The sequence below is a fragment of the Homo sapiens genome, chromosome 1, assembly GCF_000001405.40.
Source record: "Homo sapiens chromosome 1, GRCh38.p14 Primary Assembly".
Taxonomy (NCBI): domain Eukaryota; kingdom Metazoa; phylum Chordata; class Mammalia; order Primates; family Hominidae; genus Homo; species Homo sapiens.
This window is the reverse complement of record NC_000001.11, coordinates 33,722,842-33,744,566: the sequence shown is the minus strand read 5'-3', so window position 1 is coordinate 33,744,566 and position 21,725 is coordinate 33,722,842. Positions and strand designations below refer to the sequence as shown.

At 45.7% G+C, this 21,725-nt stretch overlaps 1 protein-coding gene across 12 annotated transcripts in view; it reads left to right on the top strand.

Annotated features, from left to right (window-relative positions):
* CSMD2 (CUB and Sushi multiple domains 2) overlaps positions 1-21,725 on the top strand; it is a 651,845-nt gene that overhangs the window by 421,276 nt on the left and 208,844 nt on the right. For all 12 annotated transcript variants that reach the window (XM_047443685.1, XM_047443656.1, NM_052896.5 and 9 more), the window contains 6 exons: positions 961-1,287; positions 5,233-5,427; positions 17,882-18,020; positions 19,031-19,218; positions 19,863-20,051; positions 20,254-20,370. In XM_047443685.1, the coding sequence (XP_047299641.1) occupies positions 961-1,287; positions 5,233-5,427; positions 17,882-18,020; positions 19,031-19,218; positions 19,863-20,051; positions 20,254-20,370 (1,155 nt within the window). The remainder of the gene's footprint in view (positions 1-960; positions 1,288-5,232; positions 5,428-17,881; positions 18,021-19,030; positions 19,219-19,862; positions 20,052-20,253; positions 20,371-21,725) is intronic.

The window sequence follows — 21,725 nt, the reverse complement described above, 5'->3', positions numbered from 1 at the left end:
CTTTGCCTATTCTTATTCCAGGGTCTGCTACTAGTTGGCATGAAAATAGCTTAAAATAAGGGTTTTTGGAAGGGTGGATCCTTAGGGTGAAATAGGGGAGAGAGAACAGGACGTGGACAGGGATCACAATGGATGCTGTCACCTCCCTCCCCCAGTTTCTTCAGAAGCTTTGGTCTCTGAAAGATGGTGCTCCTGGCACCTCTTTAGCATAGTGTGGCATCTTGGGGTTGTCAGAATCCCATGGCACACCTATCATTTTTCCATCAAAAATGTTTGAAGGAGACAAATGGTCCTGGGCTGTCTCCACCCGGTTACCGCCTGGGGAATTAGCACTGCTGTGTCATTAAGCAATGTCCTTTCCTACTGCTGTAAACCCAGCTGAGAGGGGTCAGGGACTGTGACTCTACACTTAGGCTTGAGTTGTGGCTTTGCCCCACCCAAGGGACCCAAAGCACGAAGACGCAGTGTTTCACATCCAGACACATCCAATCTGTAAATACTCAAAAAATGGGAGAGGTCAAAGGAGAGATGTTAACCACTACCCAAAATCCCCCAGCCAGAAATGATCCTTGCCAACAATTGGTGGACACTATTACAGATATCACATAGTTTTCTATGCATTTATACAAATAGACAGTTGGATGGATTGATAGAAATAATTTTTAAAAATCTGGGCCGCATCCTAGGTGGGCGTGCTGACCAGGGGAGAGGGGCCAAGAGAAGACCAGTTCTGCCATGTCTGCCTTTTGCCAAAGGGGCCCTACCCATTGCTAAGTCCAGCATGGAGCCCAGCATGTCTCCCCACCTGGAGCTCAGAGCCCAGCCAGTCCAGCCCAACCCTTGTGCCACTCTTTCTTTCTGTTGCTTTTTAGACTAAGAAGATGTTCCCCCTGCCAGCCCTCAGTGGTGCAGGCAGAATGTTGGGGATGCTTACTGACCTCCACTGCTCTTCTCTTGCAGTCTCCTGCTTCTTCAACTTCACCAGCCCGTCTGGGGTTGTCCTGTCTCCCAACTACCCAGAGGACTATGGCAACCACCTCCACTGTGTCTGGCTCATCCTGGCCAGGCCTGAGAGCCGCATCCACCTGGCCTTCAACGACATTGACGTGGAGCCTCAGTTTGATTTCCTGGTCATCAAGGATGGGGCCACCGCCGAGGCGCCCGTCCTGGGCACCTTCTCAGGAAACCAGCTTCCCTCCTCCATCACAAGCAGTGGCCACGTGGCCCGTCTCGAGTTCCAGACTGACCACTCCACAGGGAAGAGGGGCTTCAACATCACTTTTACCAGTGAGTCCTCCCTCTGTCACCAGCTGGCCCTCCATCTGAGTGTCTGCCTCTGAGGATGATCGAAGGTGCTCCCATGGAGGGAGGAGGAGGTGTGGATGGGGCAGTTCCCAGGGCATTGCAGGGCTGCAGTGCCCAGTCATGGAGCTCCCAGCATGACCAAGAAAGGGCATAAAGCACTGGCTGCCAGGCAGGGTGCTCTTTTCTGGAAGTCCCTCTCTGAAGGGCATTTATCTCCCATAGTTGTGATATATAATGTAAAAGGAACCTGGAACCTCATTTTTGCCCCAACCTTCCCCATCCTACAAGACCCAACCAGAACTAGGGAGGGCCCAAGAGAAAGAAAGCCTCTATCATTCTCATTGGTTTCTGATGCCCTCTCTGAGGTGCTCTCCGAAATCCCTGAATGCCTGCCTGCTGCTGACCTCTGAGTTCGTGCCGGGGCTGCTCACTTTGCTTTGCCCAGTTCCCATTCCCATAGTCACATCAGAATCAAAGCTTTGGAGCAACACTTCTGTTGGGCTCCCAGACTTACTGGGGACAACTCTTAGGGAATTTCCTCATAGCCCCTCTGAGGGCCACCATCTGAAAGTTGCCACCTCCAGTTTCAATCCTGGGCCCCTTCTCTAGAAGCAGCCTAAACTCAGCAGTGATTATTTTTATTTCTGTATCTCGTGGTTACAGAGGGGGTTGGGGGGGGGGGGGCAGAAGCTTGGTGACTAGAAATAGCAAGCCACCAAAGATAGCAAGAAGTGGTTATCAGGTCGTAAGAAGCTATAAATCCAGTGGACTTGGCTGATGACAAACAGTCAAGTGAGGCTGGAGGTGGGTCCATCTGAGCAATTAACTAGATCCTTTCCCAGAGGCTGCTTGTGAAGGGCGAGTCCCCAGTGCAAGCTCTGCTCCATGCCCACAAACACTGATCTCCCAACCCCCATTCCCACCGTTGGCATAAAGGCCTTGCCTCCGTTTTCCACCTATCTCTGGAGTCCAGTTGGACTGAAGACATTAGATGCTACCTGGTGGGCCATTTGGGTCCCCCGATTCCAAGAGACCAGCCAGGTAAAGCCCATTCCATTCCCCTCACCACTCTTGTTTAGGACACAATCAACCTTCTCAGGGCATGTCTCCTCCAGGGGATTCCTGTTTCATCTGCTGTGGGCAGGAAGAAGCAGGGGGAGATCCTAGTTCTGTCTTTCCTAACCCTAGTCTAGCACTGACCATGCTGCTTCACACTAGAAAGGAGCGAGTATGCTTTCCTTATCTTTATATCCCTTGGCCCCGCACAGGGCCTGGTGTGTGCTAAGGATCAGCAAATGTTTACGGAATGGAAGGATCCATGAATGAGTAAATGCTTTCTCTTGCCCTGGCGGAGTAGGAAGAACAAGGATAAAAGGTATCCTGGGGAGCACACTTATCCAGGATGGTGAGGGCCAAGAAGTCATGTGGGTTTGCAGCATGTGTGGACACTGAGTGGGAACTTGGGAGGAGGAGGCAGCTGATGGCCCAGGGGCTGAGCTTCATCATGACGGCAGCAGACTAACCTGAGGATAGCTCTTACTTGTATTTCTTTCCAAGGTTTCTCTACCATTGTAAAAATGATACACATCCAATCTGTAAATACTCAAAAAATGGGAGAGGTCAAAGGAGAGATGTTAACCACTACCCAAAATCCCCCAGCCAGAAATGATTCTTGCCAACAATTGGTGGACACTATTACAGATATCACATAGTTTTCTATGCATTTATACAAATAGACAGTTGGATGGATTGATAGAAATAATTTTTAAAAATCTGGGCCGCATCCTAGACCTGCTGAATTAGAATCACTAAAGGGATGGGGCCCCAGAATCTACATTTTTGGTAGGCTTCTGAGGCGATCGGATGCAGTCAGTGAAACAATCCTCCATGGCCAAGTGTCAGGGAATTAGTGTAGTCTCTCCCATAGGATTTTAATCTCCTCCTACATCCCAACTGATGATCACTGAGGCTGAGCTTGAATTTGCCCAGTGTCAGGGAGCTTGCCTCCCCAGACAGCTCTCTCCATAGCTAGCAGGCACTCTAGATTTCAAGTCAACTTATGTTGACTTGAAATCTGTGTCCCTGTAACAAGGATCAGTGGTCCCACTTCCACCCCTAGAACTCCCGGTAACAAGGCTAATTCCTCTTCCACATGGAACATAATGAACAACAATGACAGTAGCTGCCATCCATTAAGCACCTCCTGTGGGCTGAACCTGGTGCTGAGCACTCAACAGTCATCACTGGAAGCCTCACAACAAAAACTCCATAAAGCAAGATCTACCCCTTTCACATGCCAGAAAACTGAGGTTTGGAAAGGTACACAGGGAGAAGTGGGTCCTTGACTCAGAGCTTTTGCTCCCAGATGTTGGAAATAACTCCATATTCCTGCTATGTGCATTTGCGCTTGTGTGTGTGCGCATGCACGCGCGCGCGTGTATGTGTGTGTTCATATGTGGGTGTATGTATCTGTGCCTACATGTGTATGACTGATGCATTTGAAAGAAAAATGCCTGGACTTCTGGGCCCCAAGCATCATTTTTTTTCCCACACCATATTTCTAAATGTCAGGGTGACTTCGTGGTCATAGTTTCCAACGAAGAAAGGTTGGGAGACTCAAGTCTGGGCTGACCTAAGCGTTCAAATGGAAGGGTGTTGGGCACTCAACTGAAGCCCTGCATGGGATCATCACAGTCATCTCCACATCAGAGGCTCCCTTACCTCATCTGCAATGGGAAGGGTCAGGTTTGCAGGCCTCTTGCCTCTAGCAAGATCCAGCAGCCCCTAGGGCCACTGCTGTTTCTGAATGTGCAAATGTTTCTATCACTAGGGAATTTCAGAGGCCAAGAAATTTTTTTTTCAAGTGGCCCATACCCATGCAGCCATGGATCCTGGTCTCCACTGGAAAGCTGCCATCCTCAGAACAACAGGGGTGAAAATAGAGCCTGGCTTCGGGGTGAAAATAGAGCCTGGCTTCGGAGACATTTAGTAAGAGAACTGTGATGCCCCTGCTGGAGGAAGGCAGGGAACATGCTTGGTAGAGACTGAGCAGGAAAGAGTATCTTCCCATGCAGAGGAGGGAAGAAGGAAGGGAACTCATCTTCAGTGAGCACTTACCATCTGTCACGTGCCGCACCGAACAATTGCCACTCTCATATTCACATCAACTTTCATTTTATTTCTATCTCAGAATGACCCTGCAAGTGAAGGATGATCTCCATATTATCAGTCAGGAAACTAAGGCTCATCAGAATTGCATAAGTTGTCCAGGACCATGTAACGAATAAAAGGCAAAGCATGATTAAATCTACAGCGTTCTGACTCTGTCCTCTCCCCACTCTGCATTATCAATTGCCTGGGTAGAGTGAGAGGCAGCCCTGACAATAGGCAAGGAAATAAAGGAAATAGCTTCAGACAGGGTTAATTCTAGGGCACCTCCTTTATGATGCTTAGAGTCTATTAGCGTCACAGAATTTAGAGTCCAGCTCACCTCAAGCAGAAATGATCCCATAACTGTCTGAAGTTAGGGAATCTTGGAATGGATTTGACATTGAGGAGACAGATCAGCTCATTAACCACACTGAGCCTCAGTTTCCTCATTTGTAAAGTAGGGTAACAAGAGCTACTTCATAGAATCATTATGTGGTGTAAATGAGCTAACAGCAGAAACACTTAGCTTATTGCCTGATCTATAAATGTCCATTAGAATGCAGTGGGATTAGGTGCTCGGGAAGGCAGGAAATCAAGTTTAATGAGCACCTGCTTAATGCCGAGGTCCTAGAATGCCTAGCTCTCCCGCCAACATGGCAAGTTCTTGGGGAGGTGGTGGAGTTCTAGGGTTTCCCATCCCAAGGAAGCTAATTTTCTTTAGGGATTCTTCTCTACTCCAGCAATGTCTGATCATGTCCTTGAACTCCATCTACACAGCCTTCCGACACAACGAGTGCCCGGATCCTGGCGTTCCAGTAAATGGCAAACGGTTTGGGGACAGCCTCCAGCTGGGCAGCTCCATCTCCTTCCTCTGTGATGAAGGCTTCCTTGGGACTCAGGGCTCAGAGACCATCACCTGCGTCCTGAAGGAGGGCAGCGTGGTCTGGAACAGCGCTGTGCTGCGGTGTGAAGGTACGAGCCTGCAGGCTGGGAGCAGTGGCCATTGTCAGCCAGAGAGGCTGGGGAGGGGGAGCAAGCAGCCCAGGCCATGGTGGTTCCTTTCTGCGTTGGTCCTTCCTCTTCTCCCAGAACGAAGGGCCACTCTCTCACCCTCATGCTGGAATAGCAGGGGCTTCATAAGGCCACTGTGCGTAGGAATTTAAATTATAACCAGAGATTAAAGTAGAGAAACGGCTCTGGATTGTCAGGCATCAAAAGCACCTCTTCTTTCAAATGAGAACTCTCTTCGGTATCACAGCCATTAAGATCCCTGTTTCCAGCTCCTGCCCAGGGGAGCTCCGGCAGCCCAAAGTAGCATTGGCAGCGCTGCGAGTTTTCGGGTCTTTCAAGCTGCCTGTCACTCTTTCCTTCTCCACATGTTTATTTTCCCCAATTCCCTGGGATGTCTCCCAGTCTCGGCCTTTGTGCCCTGTTAAATGCTGACTTTATATCCTTGTGGTCAGTCTCCAGGAGACTCAGGGCCAACCAGCCAGAAGAAACACAGCTTGCAGCAGGCACACGGCTGATGATGGCAGTTCTTCAGTCCTGCCTCGCCACACAAGACAGTTTTTGACTCAATTTTCAAGACCAGCCATCTGTTCCACCAAACTACAGACATTTAAAATACAGATAAAGCTTCTTGAGGCAGGAGTCAGGTTAAATTTGTGTACCAAGCATGGTGTACCAAGCATTTGTGCACCAGGCAAATTTGTGTACCAAGCATTGTGTACCAACCGTGGTACCTGGCACGGAATAGGTGCTTAATAAATATTTGTGAATAATGGATGAATAGTGAGTATCCCAAGGGCCCCTTGGGGAAACTGACAGTATCCAAGGAGACGAAGGCTGTGATTCTCTCCTTTTAGGAGGCAGAAACCTTCTTCTCACATTTCATGTGATAGAAAGAGGATAGAGACTTAAGAGACCTCTTGACTTAACCCAATTCCTAAACTCAAATCTGGGCATAGTGGCCATGAACAGGAAGGACAGGAGAATGAAGAAGGGAGCATGCCTGAGAGAGAGTATTACCCAGAGCTTACAAATGGCTCGATGGGAGACAAGGGACCACTGAGAACACTGGAGGTGGCAAGCAGTCCAGGTGGGCATTTGAGTGAGAGGGGCCCAAGCTGGGATCCTGGCAATTCACTTTTCCCCTTGAGCCTTTGTATTTTCCAGCTGGAAAAAAAAGGAGGGATAATGATAATTATCAGATGTGTATGGAGTAGGCAGTCCTGGTATAAAGTAAGTCCTCATAAGCTGCGCCTTCACTGTCACGTAAACTCCATGAGGTTAGGGAATCTTCCTTGGCCTCATATTCCCACAGCTGGTGTGTTGTTTGATACTTGGTAGATGCTCAATCAATACTGGTTGATGAGTCACCGAATAAATGAATGAATGAATGGCCTTTTAACTAGGCTAGAGCCTCCCTAATGAGACGCATATCAATGAAAGGCCTCCAGAGCCCCGACTCTCACCAGACTGCCTGCTGTCTCCACCCTGCAACTTATCATCCAAGCCACCCTGGGGAAGTAACTTGACCTCTCTGTGCCTCAGTTGCCCCACTGTAAAATGCAGGTTGATAATGGGAACCCGCTTGAAGAGTTGTCTTGAGCATGCACAGTTCTTGGAGCAGTGCCTGGTGAGAGGTAACACTCAATAAGTGTTGGCCATTAGCGTTAACTTGATTTTAACTATTTCTTCATTGGACCAACCAGATCAATATTTGCTCCACTTTGGGGGATCAAGTGGTGCGTTTCCATCCTTCCAGGAACTTGCCCCAACCGTGACATGAATAGACATTTTTTTCTGACTTCCAAACTTCCCGCAGTGTGGTCTGTACAACCTCATCTGCCATTCTTCCTCAGTGCAATCAGCACTTTTGGAAAGAACAGAAGCTTTGGAGTTAGAGAAACAACACGAAACTCAGTCTCCATGCTTCCCAGCTGTAGAATTAATGGGCTTAGGTTAAGTAACTAGACCTAGACCTCAGGTCCCTCACTGGCAACAGGGGAATAAGTATGCATATCTGATGGAGTTATTTGCTGGTGAAACAGGTCACCGTACAAAGCATCCATGCAGAACCCAGTCTGGAGGGTTGTGAATCGGTGGTCTTTCACCTTCCTACAGACCAGCCCCCTCATTTTCCCTTGCACTCATTGACCACTTCTAATTTCTTTAGTTTTCGTTGTGTTGGTTCATATCTCTGAGATCTTCCCTGCTGTCTCTAGCTCACCTGATCTCTTCCTTCTCCTAATTTCTATTATTTTTCATGGGCCACCACCACTGGACCACTTTCTTGGATACTGGTTCTTACCATTATTACATTTACCAGTTCCACAGGCCTTGGTCCTGTCTGCCCAACAAGACTGTGAGTGGTCTCAGGGCAGAAGGCCAGATTCCCATTGCCCCTGAGCCTGCAGGGGCTTAGTCCCAAATTAGTTGACTGCTCTGAGGAACCCTCAGGAATTAGTAACTGCACAATCCTCCTCTCCACCTGCCACCCTCCTGAATCAAGTGCTCTTAGACTTTAGCTCTGCGATGCATTGAAACCTTCAAGGCCATGTATGAACACATGAGATAATTTGACCTTTGTTAATGGATCTTCAAGTGGCTCACTATTTTTTTTTTTTCTTTGAGACGGAGTCTTGCTGTCGCCCAGGCTGGAGTGCAGTGGCGTGATCTTGGCTCACTGCAAGCTCCACCTCCCAGGTTCACGCCATTCTCCTGCCTCAGCCTCCCAAGTAGCTGGGACTACAGGCGCCCACCACCACACCCAGCTAATTTTTTGTATTTTCAGTAGAGACAGGGTTTCACCGTGTTAGCCAGGATGGTCTTGATCTCCTGACCTCGTGATCCACCCACCTCAGCCTCCCGCGGCTCACTATTTCATAAGCAAGGTCTTCATTTTAAAGTTAAAAAGGTCTTTTTCATTCTGTCCCTGGAGGGGGAAATGCTGTAGGGTTGGGGCAGTAGGCACTAGAAGTAAGGGACAGTCTATTGGAGACCCTGACCCCAGGGAGAGCCCGCTCGGTTTTCTCAGAGCGATGGGCATTTGATGCCAGCCTGGTTTTCAGGGATCTGGGAAGTTGCATGCCAGGCAGAGTGTGAGAGCCTGATGCCACTTAGGGTGGCTGAATCCCAGCCTTAAAACCTTAGACAGAGCTGGCTAAAGAAGCCCCTGGGAACCTGTCCCTTCTTGGCTCCTCTCCCTCCTTTTGTCTGAGCCTTGGTAGAGCTCTGCTTTGCAATCAGCATCTTTGTCTTTTCCGTTTTTTTTCTAGTTTTGTTTTTGATTAAGTGTCCCCACCTTGTGGACAATTAAATGCAGAAGCTAATGGTCTTTTAGAAAATCTTTTAATATATGCTAAGAGCCACTTAGCTTTTGAGAGGCTATAATAGGACAAGAGAGACGATGGCTTCTCCTAAATTTAGAAAGAAGGATGATTATCTGGAGGATCTAAAGCAGGGGTCGGCAAACTTTTTCTTAAAGGGCCAGAGAGGAAGTATTTTCGACTGTGTGGGCTATAACTCTGCTGTCCTAATGCAACAGCAGCCTTAGACAATACGGAAGTGAATGGGCTAGATTGACCAAGTCTGTGATCTTGAGTTCACAGGACACAGGAGTCCCTTAGGTGTAAAATCAGAAATTTCCCAAGAAAGACTTCCGGGTAGTGAAGGCAGCTACACCGGCGTACCTGCCTGACTTTCTCTCCCCTACACTTACCTCTTCCTTGTCTCTTTAAAGGAAAAATAATCATACCCCACTAGGATAAGTGTCTTACAGTGTCACCTCATTTCAACCTTGCACCAGTCCTAGGAAATAGATGTCGTTATTGTCCCTGCTAGGACACAGACAGGTTAAGTCACCTGCGTAGGATCTTCCCAGCTTGTAAATGATGGAGCCAGAATTCAAATCCAGACTCTTGGCTACCCTGTTACTGTATTTTTCTTGAATTATATCACTGAAGAGAATATAGTTTCCAACACCTCTATGAAAGACTTAAAAGCATCTCCAAATAGAACGAAAAGCAGGATTTCTACTTTCGACATCCCCGTAGAAAATTAAAAGGAAATACATTGCCTAATGCATAAGACAAAGAAGACAGGACATCACATGGAGACATCGGAAATTGACAGCATGAAACAAAATGACAGCAGAAGACAAACATATCAGTTATGATAATAAAAGTAATTAAACTCCCTATTAAAAGACAAAGAGCTGAGCTTTAAGAATATTCTGCTTACAAGAAATACACACAAAAAAAGATAAATTATCTACAGTGAGTGTGTATTTTCTTTTTTCTTTTTCTTTTTTCTTTTTTTTTTTTGAGATGGAATCTTGCTCTGTCATCCAGGCTGGAGTGCAGTGGTGTGATCTCAGCTCACTGCAGCCTCTGCCTCCCAAGTTCAAGCGATTCTCCTGCCTCAGCCTCCCGAGTAGCTGGGACTACAGGTGTATGCAACCATGCCTGGCTAATTTTTGTATTCTTAGTAGAGACGGGGTTTCACTATGTTGGCCAGACTGGTCTCAAACTCCTGACCTCATGATCTTCCAGCCTCGGCCTCCCAAAATGCGGGGATTACAGGCTTGAGCCACCACACCTGGCCCCTGTATTTTCATTTTTTAAATTTTAAAGAAATACTCGGAGGGTTGCTTGAGCCTGGGAATTAGAGGCTGCAGTGAGCTATGATTGTACTACTGCTCTCCAGCCTGGGCGACAGAGCTAGACTCTGTCAAATAAACAAATAAAGGAATACTTGGTGGTTGTAAAAATTTCAAATGATGCACAAGTGCAATACAGCTCAAAGTGGAAATGCTCATTTCCCAGTCCCACTCCCCAGAGGAAAATGGTTTAACAGTTTGGTATAAACACATCCACATTTATTCTCTATCTACACCAAATGTGTTACTTTTAAAATCAGGAAAAAAGCAAGTACTGTAATAAAGAAAGAAGGTCAGTTCTCCTCATGACCACAAAGAAATCTAAGTGGTGGTGGTAGCTCATTTTGGCATTAAGGAAGAACTATAAGGGTAGTTACTGCATTTCTAGCAATCTCTCATTTAATCTTCTTGCCACTCTTGCAAGAAAGATGTAATTGTGCTTTATCCATGAGAATCCGCAAAAACAGTGAGGTGAGTTGACGTTCCCAAAATCACCCAGCTGGTAATCATTGAGCACATACTATGTGCTAAATACCAGGCCAATTGCTTTACATCTGTATTAGTCCATTCTCACATTGCTATGAAGAAATGCCCAAGACTGGGTAATTTATAAAGGAAAGGTTTAATTGACTCACAGTTTCACATTGCTGGGGAGGCCTCAGGAAACTTACACTCATGGTGAAAGGCAAAAGAGAAGCAGGCACCTTCTTCACAGGGCGTCAGGACAGAGTGAGTGCAAGCAAGGGAAATGCCAGATGCAAACCATCAAATCTCCTGCGACTCACTATCATGACAGCAGCATGGGGGAAACTGCCCCCATGATCCGATTACCTCCACCTGGTCCTGCCCTTGACACGCAGGGATTATGGGGATTATAACTCGAGGTGAGATTTGGGTGGGGACACAGAGCCCAACCATATCAACATCCACTGCCCCATTGACTCTTCATGAGGAGGTATTGTTATCCTCACTTCACAGATGAAGAAACTGAAGCTCAAAATGGTTATGTAACTTGCTTAAGACCATAGCTAAGTGAATGAGAGAGTCAAGGTTCAAATCCAGATATTCTGATTCCAGAATCATCACTTTTAACCTCCAAGTGAGGTCTGAGTCCCAAGTTCATTCTGCTTATATTCTACCACAAAACAGTGGAAGACAGGTGGTAAGGGGCACAGGTGGGTAGTGGGGAGGCAGAGCTAGAGAGTAGGAGGCAACACTTCCAGCCGCAGGGCTGAGTAACTCCAGAGGCACTCTGGTCAGAGGAAAGGACTTCCACTACTTCTGGTCACTCACACTGGACAGCTAGTCAACAAAACCCCTTAGCAGCAGCCTACATCCCGTTACAGAAGCAGTGGTTGAGGTGGGCATTCCCACGTCCACCCAGAGTGGTTAAAAATGCAGGCTCTGGAGCTGGACTGCCCAGGTTTAAATCCTGACCCTGCGACTTCCTAGTGTGTGTTCCTGGCCAGTCGCCTAAGCTCTTTGTACCTCAAGTATGTTCCCTCAGCTATGAAATGAGGTTAATGTCTGTGCCCGCCTTATAGGTGGCTGTGAAGACTAACACACAGGGGAAGCAAAAGCATACATGAAGGTCAGAGCCTGGCATGTTGTAGAGCTCAGTGCTCAATGAGTATTTGTTCTCTGTATTCTATTCTGTCACCATTCCCTATTCCTCTTTGCCTTGCACAACTTTAGCATCAGGGTCAGGAGAAGTGGCTCATCCCTCACAGGGGACAGCAACCCCTCATCAGAAGCTCAGTGTATCAGTCAGCCTGGGCTGCCGTAACACAGTGCCACAGACTTGGTGCCTTAAACAACATAAATTTATTTTCTCACAGGTCTGAAAGCTGGAAGTTCAAGATCAAGGTACTGGCAGGGCTGGTTTCTCCTGAAGCATCTCTCCTTGGCTTGCAGATGCCCACTTCCTCTCTGTGTTCTCACGTGGCCTGTTTTCCTGTGCACATGCACCCCTGGTGTCTTCCTCTTATAATGAGGACACCAGTCCTACTGGACTAGGGCTCTATCCTCATGACCTCATTTAACCTTATTTACCTCCTGAAAGGCTCTCTCTCCAAATGCAGTCACATTGGTGGCTAGGGTTTCAACCTCTACATTTTGGGAGGACACAATTCCATCCATAACACCCAGTATCCCTGCCTATCAACCAGTATTTCATTCCTTCAACAAATATTGAACATCTAGTGAGTACCAGGTGCTGGGACAGTCACAGGGTCCCTCTTTTGTCTTATTGCTGAGCTCTTCTCCCTGTTCAAGAGAGGATCCTTCCTTCTTTTTCCTTCTTTTCTTTGTGTGTGTGTGTGTGTGCATGTGCACGCACACAGACATGTGTGTGCTTCCCTGTTTTTGCCTTCACCTTGTTTAAATGAAAAATTTCAAACATATACCAAAACAGAGAGAATAGTATAATGAACCCACATGTACCTATCAGTCAACCTCAACAATTATAAACTCATGGCCTATTTTGTTTTCATTTATATCCCCACCCATTCCCCCACAACCACCCTGCTGGTTCTGGGATTATTTCGCAGCAAATTTCAGTCATCACACTTCATCTATGACATTTTAGTAATGTGTCTCCAACAGATAAAACTAGCTCTTTAAAACATAACCACATTGCTATCATTTTAAAAAATTAAAAACAATTAATATAATCAAATTTCCATGATTGGCTAATACGTTCTTTGATAGTATTTTTAAGTCAGTATCCTTGTTAGCTTCATACATTATAATTGGCTGATATGTCTCAAGTCTTTTCTAATCTATAGGTGTCTACTCCCCACCCCCTTGAGATTTTTTTGTTGTTGCAGAAGTCGGGTCATTTATCTGGAGATAAATGAGAATTATTCAGAATGAGGAGTCTCCTGCATTCGGAATTTTGCCAGTTGCTTCCCTGGGAGGTTGTTTAACACAATTGTCTCTCTTTTATGTTCCCTTTAATTGGCAGTAAGATCTAGAAACTTAATCAGATTGAACTTCCATTTTTTTAGCGAGAATATCTTGTAGGCAATGTCTTCAACAGAATCATATGATATTTGGGTATCTCTCTTTTGGGGTCATTAGGAACCATTAATGATCATACCCTAGGAATTACAAAATGGTAACATGCTATAATTTATTTTTTCATAAGCTGAAATGCTACACTTAAAGAAAACTTGTCCTCATCAACTATTTGGTTACTCCGAGATACAGTTTGTAAAGGAAAAGCAAGGAAATAATTATTTGTATTTGCCGGTTTTTGTATTAATGAGTTGATTCCCTAACACCTTCCAAAGTTGCACATTTTTAAATATCATTACAATCCAAACATACTTTATGTATTTAAATCTACTGCAGTTTGTTCTAATTAATGCTCAAATTGTGTCATTGGCTAGTGGGAGCCTTTTGAAGTTGGCCTAACATCATCTTGTACATTTTCTGTCTCTGACCCAGAATCAGTTATTTCTCCTAGAAACCCTGGTTCCTTTTAGTGGAAACTGATATTTAAAATTTGGGCACTAGGGGTACTTTTTATTATTGACTTCGTTCCTGTTTCTAAGCCTTTTCAATGAACACAGCTAGGAAACAGTTTTTAAAAGAAAATTCGTCATGGGTTTATTTCATTTCCAATGTAAAAACACTTTTTCTTTTTTACTTAACTTCTTTAATATCATATCCATATCTCCTTTCACTCTTGCTGAAAATCCCAGTTCCCAACACCATTAATATAATTTCCCAATTCATAGGACATGCCTAAGAGTCCCAAAGTAGTAATACCAATGGCTACCAACAATAATATAATTACAGAGAATAGTTTAAGGGTTTTTTTTTTTTTCATTTCTTTTTGTATCCTATTAAGGTAGGCTATCAAATTATTGTGTTTTAAAATCTCTTTTACTAGTTTCTTCATGTGGGATTATGCTACCAACTAATCTAGCATTGCATTCATTTATTTCACTCTGCTTCTGAGTTTCTAGAAATTGCTTATCAGTTTATTGATTTGCTTAATCTTTCATTTTAATTATTTAAAATATTTACATAGTTCCAAAGCTAAATATATAAAAAAGGTATATTCTGAGAAAGCCTAGCTTCTATCCCTATCTTCTCTACCCTGTTCCCTCCGTCCTTCTGTGAATAATCTTTTAGTTTTTGGTTTATCCTTTCAGTGATTGTTAATATGAGTGAATATGTGTGTATGCCTCTGCCCCTTTCTTAGATAAAGAGAATCATACCATACCTACTAATCTCTACCATGCTTTTATTCACTTAACAACATAGTCTGGGAACCACTCCATGATATTATATAGAATATCCCTCATTCTTGTTTTATAGCTGCATAAATAGTCCATTTTGTTGATTACCCTAGTTTATTCAGTTAGATCTCTACCACTGAACATTTGGGCTGTTTCCATACATTTGCTATCACAAATAGTGCTACCTTGCATAACCTTGTACATATATGTCATTTCATATTTTTGCCAGTGTATCTTTGGGAGAGTTCTAGAAATAGAATTGCTGGGTCAGAGAGTAAATGCATATGCATTTTGTTGGATATTACCAAATTCCTCTGCACAGCAGTTGTACCATATTGCACGTTCACCAGCAAGGTCCTAGAATCCTTGGTTTCTCACGGCCTCATGTGTCATTAAACTTTGGATTTTGCCTATCTGATGGATGAGAAACAATATTTCACTGTGCTTTTAATATGTATTTTTATGTTTAAGAGTGAGGTCAATCATCTTTTCAAATGTGAAAGAGACATTGCATTTAAGAATCCTCCCCTCCAACATCACACTCTGGGGACTGTTGTGGGGTGGGGGGAGGGGGGAGGGATAGCTTTAGGAGATATACCTAATGCTAAATGACGAGTTAATGGGTGCAGCACACCAGCATGGCACATGTATACATATGTAACTAACCTGCACATTGTGCACATGTACTCTAAAACTTAAAGTATAATAATAATAAAATTTTAAAAAATTAAAAAAAAAAAAAAAAAGAATCCTCCCCTCCAAATCCCTGCCGGGCAACTACCACTCTGCAATATGAAGATGAACAACAGAGAAAGTGAAGGACAGAATGATTAAATAGGTCACTGGACAATCACAGGTGCACAGGAAGAGATTAACTAGCCAAACTAATGAAGCAACACAGCAGAGAAAGAAAGCAAAGTGGTGACCGCCAAAGGAAGGGATTGAATTTCCCTCTCTGGAGATTGTAGATGGGGTTTCGTTGATATGTATGCACTGAGTGGAGAGTGGCCTAGACAGGCAATGGAGACTGCATGATCTGTAGCTCCCCGGGCAGTAAATGGGGAAATCACAGTCCAACAACCAGAGATGCTGGGCCTGTGCTGAGATGGAGCCAAGAAAGAGTCCCTCCTCACTGCTGAGATGCAAACCTGTATTGTAACAATGGGATGTAGCAATAGGCACGCCCCTCCCCACCTCTAAGGTCTCATGTGTCCACCTGAGAAATGGAGGAAAGCATTAGTAGTTGCAGTGAGATGGATGGATGGGTTTTGAAAACTGGGGTTACCCAGGAAGTGACAATACACATACACAATTTACTCTCCCAATGTTTGATATAGCTCTATGTAATTATTTAGTTTCTCTAAGCCTCAATTTACTGAAAATGGGGTAATAATCCCCGCCTATAAAACGAGGATGATAATAGTACGTGCCATTTAGTGTTGCCATTGTCACAAGGATAATCCACATTAAGCCCTGACACATAGTAAGTTATCGATACACATGAGCTTATTACTGTTGGCTGTGGTTGTAGCACTATTATGTGTCACGGGGGATTTAGAGACAGAAGTCTTGAGATTCAATCTCAGCTCTAATTTCATTAGCTCTGTATCCTTGATCTAGTCTCTTAACCTACTTGGCCTTAGTTTTCTTCTCTATAAAATAGGGATAATAACTTCATAAATGCATGCATTTAAATGAGATAACACATGTGTAGCAATTAGCATAGTAAGTCATCAGTAAGAGTTGACGACTACTACCCTTATTATAATCTTCTTTGTTAATTAAACTTCCTAATATAAGTTTCTATTAAGAATACTTGACAACTATTTTAGATAATTCTTGAAGGTTATAGCATTAAAAAAAAAAGAGGATTGGGTATATTAGACTATCTTTTATGAAACTGATTACCTCGAGAAATCTACAAAACTTTGCAGAGAGAGAAGTGCTATGTAGCTCTTTATTCCTCCCCAGTCTTGTTCAGGGAATTTTTGGCATCTGATAGCTCCATAGTAAGGGAGTACAAAGGAGCAGAGGTTCCTTTGACATGGGAGGCGGCTTAGCTTAAAATCTCTGGATTTACGCTGTCTTGCCTAGGTCTGAATCCAAGCTCTGCAACTTGCTAACCCAAGGCTAGTTACTCAACCTCCGTAAGCCTCAGCTTTCCTAGGAGGTAATAATAGCACCAACCTCACAGGGGATTTTGTTTTGCAAAGAGTGAACATGATTACGTATGTAAGCTCAGTGCCTGACTGAGGTGGAGTCAACCCCCAGTCAATGGCAGTGGTGATGGCAGTGACAGAAGCAGTAATAGTGGATGTCATCATCATCCTCATCATCAGCCTTGGGGAGGTGTGCTAGTCTGGGTGGGCTAGGCTACACGGTGTTAACTTACAACCTCCAAATCCCAGCGGCTTAAAAATCAGGAGCTTATATCTCACACAGACCACTGAAGCTACATATTTAACATGGGTCATCAGGGATGTCTGCTCCTTAGAGTCACTTAGGGGCCCAGATTGATGAGACTTCCCTCTTGACACTTGCTTCCACAATTACCGAGGCCGGAAAAGGAAACTGTGTGCAGATCACACACAGGCTTATAAAGTTTCCACAGAGACATGATGTACAGCACTTCTGCTCTCATTTTATTGGTCACAGCAGTCACGTGACCTTGCATAACTTCAAAAGGGGTGGGCAGTGAAATCCAATCATGTGCCCTTGAAAGAGGAATAGCTCTAATGACTACCTTAGGGGCTGAGGGTCTGGTTGCAGGAAGAGACAGTGGTGGTGGGAAAGAGGCAGCTGAGAATGGGGAAGCCCAGGATGGGACATGTGGACAGAGGCATAAATAACAGACTTTGCAAGACCAGAGACAGCCAGCAGCTGTGCCTAGGCCTCCCAGTGTCCTGTGGAGTTCCCTGCCTTGGACTGTATTCATTCATCCTGTCATTAACTCATTGATTCATCCAACCAGCAATCATTGAGAAACAACTGTGTGCCAAGCACCATGCTCAATACTGGGGATACCCAGTTGTGTAACACAATTAACACATCCCATGCCCTCCTGGAGTTTACAGTGAAGCAGGGAGTACCGGCACCCTGAGCTGAACGTCTGAGTTGTAGGGTCCTGGGGTTCTGACCTTCTCCAGGGCCAGATGTGAGGAGGTTGGCTGGGTCTATGCCCCTGCCTCAGGCCTGACAATTGAGTGAGGAACGAAGGAAAAACACCATGTGGCCCAAATATTAGTTGTACTTCAGCCCTTCTAGAATGACAAAGGGACTTTGCTTAAAGGATTCTTTTCATTTCTCCCATCTGGCCTTTAATAACACTCCACATGATATAACTGGACCTACCCATAAAGGTCCCAGTAGACAAAACTCACAGTTTATAGTTTATGTAATTTTCCATAAAAACAAAAACTATACTTATTGCCTGACACATTTTATAGAGAGATTTTCTGTTTGTTTACTCATTTGTCCCTGAAGAAAGCTGCCTCTCTTCCTTCTGTCCCCCCAGCTCCCTGTGGTGGTCACCTGACTTCGCCCAGCGGCACCATCCTCTCTCCGGGCTGGCCTGGCTTCTACAAGGATGCCTTGAGCTGTGCCTGGGTGATTGAGGCCCAGCCAGGCTACCCCATCAAAATCACCTTCGACAGGTGCTTGTGACCACAGCCTTGGGGGAGAGGGCAAGGGGGAGATTTTTACAGAGCCACGTGGGAGGGAATGCAGGGTGGATAGGGGACCAGTACCAACGCTGAAATGTCAGCAAGGTTGGAGAACACTGGACCAAATTGCCCTGGGTGGGGCAGACCTCACTGGCTCTGCCCTTGGGCTTGGTTTGTGCTGTTTAGGGGACTATGGCAGGAGGGGTGAAGAGAAGGCTTGGGTACCATTTGGGATGTTAGAGCTCCCCCCTCCCCAGCCCCCAAGGAGGGGGAGTGGGCAGATAGACACCATCAGATGTTAAAGCATGACTCTGGTATCTGACGAGCATTCTCCTGGAAATGTCCAACGTGGGAAGGCAGCCCCCCACCTCTGCCCCAAATCCTGCTCATGTGCCCCACTTCTAGCTCCCACCCTGGCTATGCCCCTTGGGTGGAGAACGTAGCCACCTAAATGTGAAAACAAACTTCTTCCGGACAAAGTGTTCCTGGCCTGGAATAGCAGTCTGCAAACTTTTGTGTGAAGAGCCAGATGGTAAATATTTTAGGCTTTGTGGGCCACTTGCCTACTTGCATATCTCTGATGCATGCTCTGCTTTGCCTTTTTTTTTTTTTAAGATCTCTTTACAAATGTAAAAAGCATCCTTAGCTCTCCAGGCTATAGACCAGATCTGGCCCTGAGGCTTTAGTGTGCTGACCCCTAGCCTAGAATGTTCTGACCTCCATGAGGCTAGTCATTGTGCCTCTAGGTCTTAAGCTGGCTCACAGATCAGGCCACAGAGAGGATGAGAGCAGTTTCCAACCATGGAAGGAGGAGGAGGGATGTTAAATAGAGTGGAGAAGGTCCTTCTGCATCGCTAGTGAATGTGTGCAAATTATATTAAAAGATCCCAGCCTGCCAAAATCTGGTTATTCGGAAGCCCTGGGTCAGGCAGGGCTTTATGTCATTTGCAAATTAATAAGCTTGGATTTCTCAAGAAGGCTTCATTTCTGTCATTTGGCAGATTCAAAACCGAGGTCAACTATGACACCCTGGAAGTACGCGATGGGCGGACTTACTCAGCGCCCTTGATCGGGGTTTACCACGGGACCCAGGTTCCCCAGTTCCTCATCAGCACCAGCAACTACCTCTACCTCCTCTTCTCTACCGACAAGAGTCACTCGGACATCGGCTTCCAGCTCCGCTATGAGAGTGAGTCTCAGTGGGCTCAGGAAAAGGGATGACAAGGTCAGCCCAGGTGGGTCAAAGGCCTCAGGACTGTGCTCCACCACAGGCCCCTGCTTGGCCCCATCCCCATGGTGTTCTTGGCTAGGCTGTGCCCTTCAGAAGGCCCTGGGGAAGGCACTCTGTTGCTCTCAGCATCCCTCAGGTCATGGGAGCTTAGAGTTGTTCACAACCTTCACGCTAGGCCCTTGCGTGCAGACCTCCTGGCAGGTGATTGGGTGCCGCCACGCTGGGCACTCTGGGATCAGAACATTTGACTGACCATGAAGTTAACCCAAGATGGCATCTCACACCCACACTTGTCCTTCCTCATCACCTCCCACATTCATCCCCTCGATTTAAAGGATCATTGTCACTTCAGTTCTCTGTAGACCAACATAGAAAGCTGGAGCTGCGAGCACCATGAGGACAAGGTCATTTTCTTACTCCTAAGCCTTAGCATAGCACCTAAGCCACTCTCAGCAAATTCTGACGGCCACATTTCATGAGTCAGTAATTGGCAACTTCTGCCTTTAATAAACCAGGGCTCTCTTCTTACTCTTTGGAGTCAACTGGGGTCCCTCTGTAGTGACAGTAAGCTGTCTGTCCCAGCTGTGGCCTCTCTCTTTCAGCTATAACACTGCAGTCAGACCACTGTCTGGATCCAGGAATCCCAGTAAATGGACAGCGTCATGGGAATGACTTCTACGTGGGCGCGCTGGTGACCTTCAGCTGTGACTCGGGCTACACATTAAGTGACGGGGAGCCTCTGGAGTGTGAGCCCAACTTCCAGTGGAGCCGGGCCCTGCCCAGTTGTGAAGGTGAGGGACACCATGAGGGGGCGCTAAAGTAGCAGACTCCTCTCCTGCCACAGAAACACAGGTGCTCAAAAGACCACTGACTCCCTCACCCCATCAGCGAAGGTTGGGCTTTCGAGAGATGGGGGATGGGGTCCCAGGAGGATGACGGGGGTGCTCCCTGAGGCCCTCTGGTCTTTCACTGCCCTCTTCACTCCTTCTGTAGCTCTCTGTGGTGGCTTCATTCAAGGCTCCAGTGGGACCATCTTGTCGCCAGGGTTCCCTGACTTCTACCCCAACAACTTGAACTGCACCTGGATTATCGAAACATCTCATGGCAAGGGTGAGTGTTTCAGCCCATAGCAGGCATTGGGATGTGACGAGGTCAGGGACCCAAGTTCCTCAGGTCAAGTTGACCTCAATGGGGATCTCCCTAGATAGTGACCTCTGGGCTTCGTCTGAACTTTTCTCACCAACAAGAAAACTTCCAGAGTCTTCTCATCCCTTTGAATGGTAGAACTTGTTCAATAAGTATTGTTGAGATTCTAAAATCTCCCTGCTGGAAGAGCTCTTAGAGGTTACCAGCTGTCCAATCTCACTCAGTACAGGAACCTTCTCTAAATCACTCCCTGCAAGATGGCAACACGCCAGCTCAGCTCACCCTCTGCCTAAACATGCCTGATGTGGGGAGGCCACCAACCCGTTCAACAGATGGGCACCTACTATCATTTTTGCACAGATGCTTTCTTCTAATAGTCTATTAGGTGTCTCTGAAAATGTTTTTCTTGTATTGCATCCTGGAGGAGCATCAGATACACCTGCTCCCTCTTCTTCACATTCACCCTTCAGATACTGAACACAGCGATCCCCTTCTTGCATAACTCAGCTCCTCCCCTGATGCCATCTTTCATATGGGTCACCAGCCTGCACTGCTGCCTCAGCTCCCCTAACGTGAGTGACCTTTGGGAGTCCAAGTTCAAAGTAAAAGTGCTGGTTATAAATAAATGTTAATTAATATATTAATACTCTTTTCTCAACAAATATGTATTCGGTGCCACCCATGTGGCTGACACTGGGGCTGGGCATCAGCAGTAACCAGGCAGATTTGGCTTCTAGCCTCAGAAGCTTATTGCCAAGTTCATCCAGAGTCATGGTTCTTGCAGTTTGGCAAATACACTAATGCTTAGGCCCAAGGCTAGAGGTTTTGATTTTCTACGTTGGCGGTGGAAACCAGGCATCTATGTTTTCAGAACACTTTGCCAGTAATTTTGATGCATGCTTTTAATTAAGAACCTCTGATCTAGAAGAATTAACATGCAGAAGAGCCAAAAAACTAATTTTAAAGGAAGATTAATCCTTCCGGATATTAAAATGTTGTTATGGGCTAAATTAATGTTAACAATGTGGTATGAGTACAAGAGTGGACATACAAATAAGACGTGGAGAATAATTGTCCAGAAATAGATCCCTCCGTGTGTGCACACACATGCCTGTGTACGTGTGAGAAAGAGACAGACTTTAGTATATAAGTAAAGTGTCATTTCAGATCCATTGAAGAAAGGATGGATTATGTAATAAATGGTGTTAAAACAGTGGGTTGAACCATTGGAACAAAAGAAAAAAAAACCGTCTATACCTCAAGCATTCTCAAGCATTTAATCACATAAACTCCAGCACTAGAGGAACATGAATCTCTAA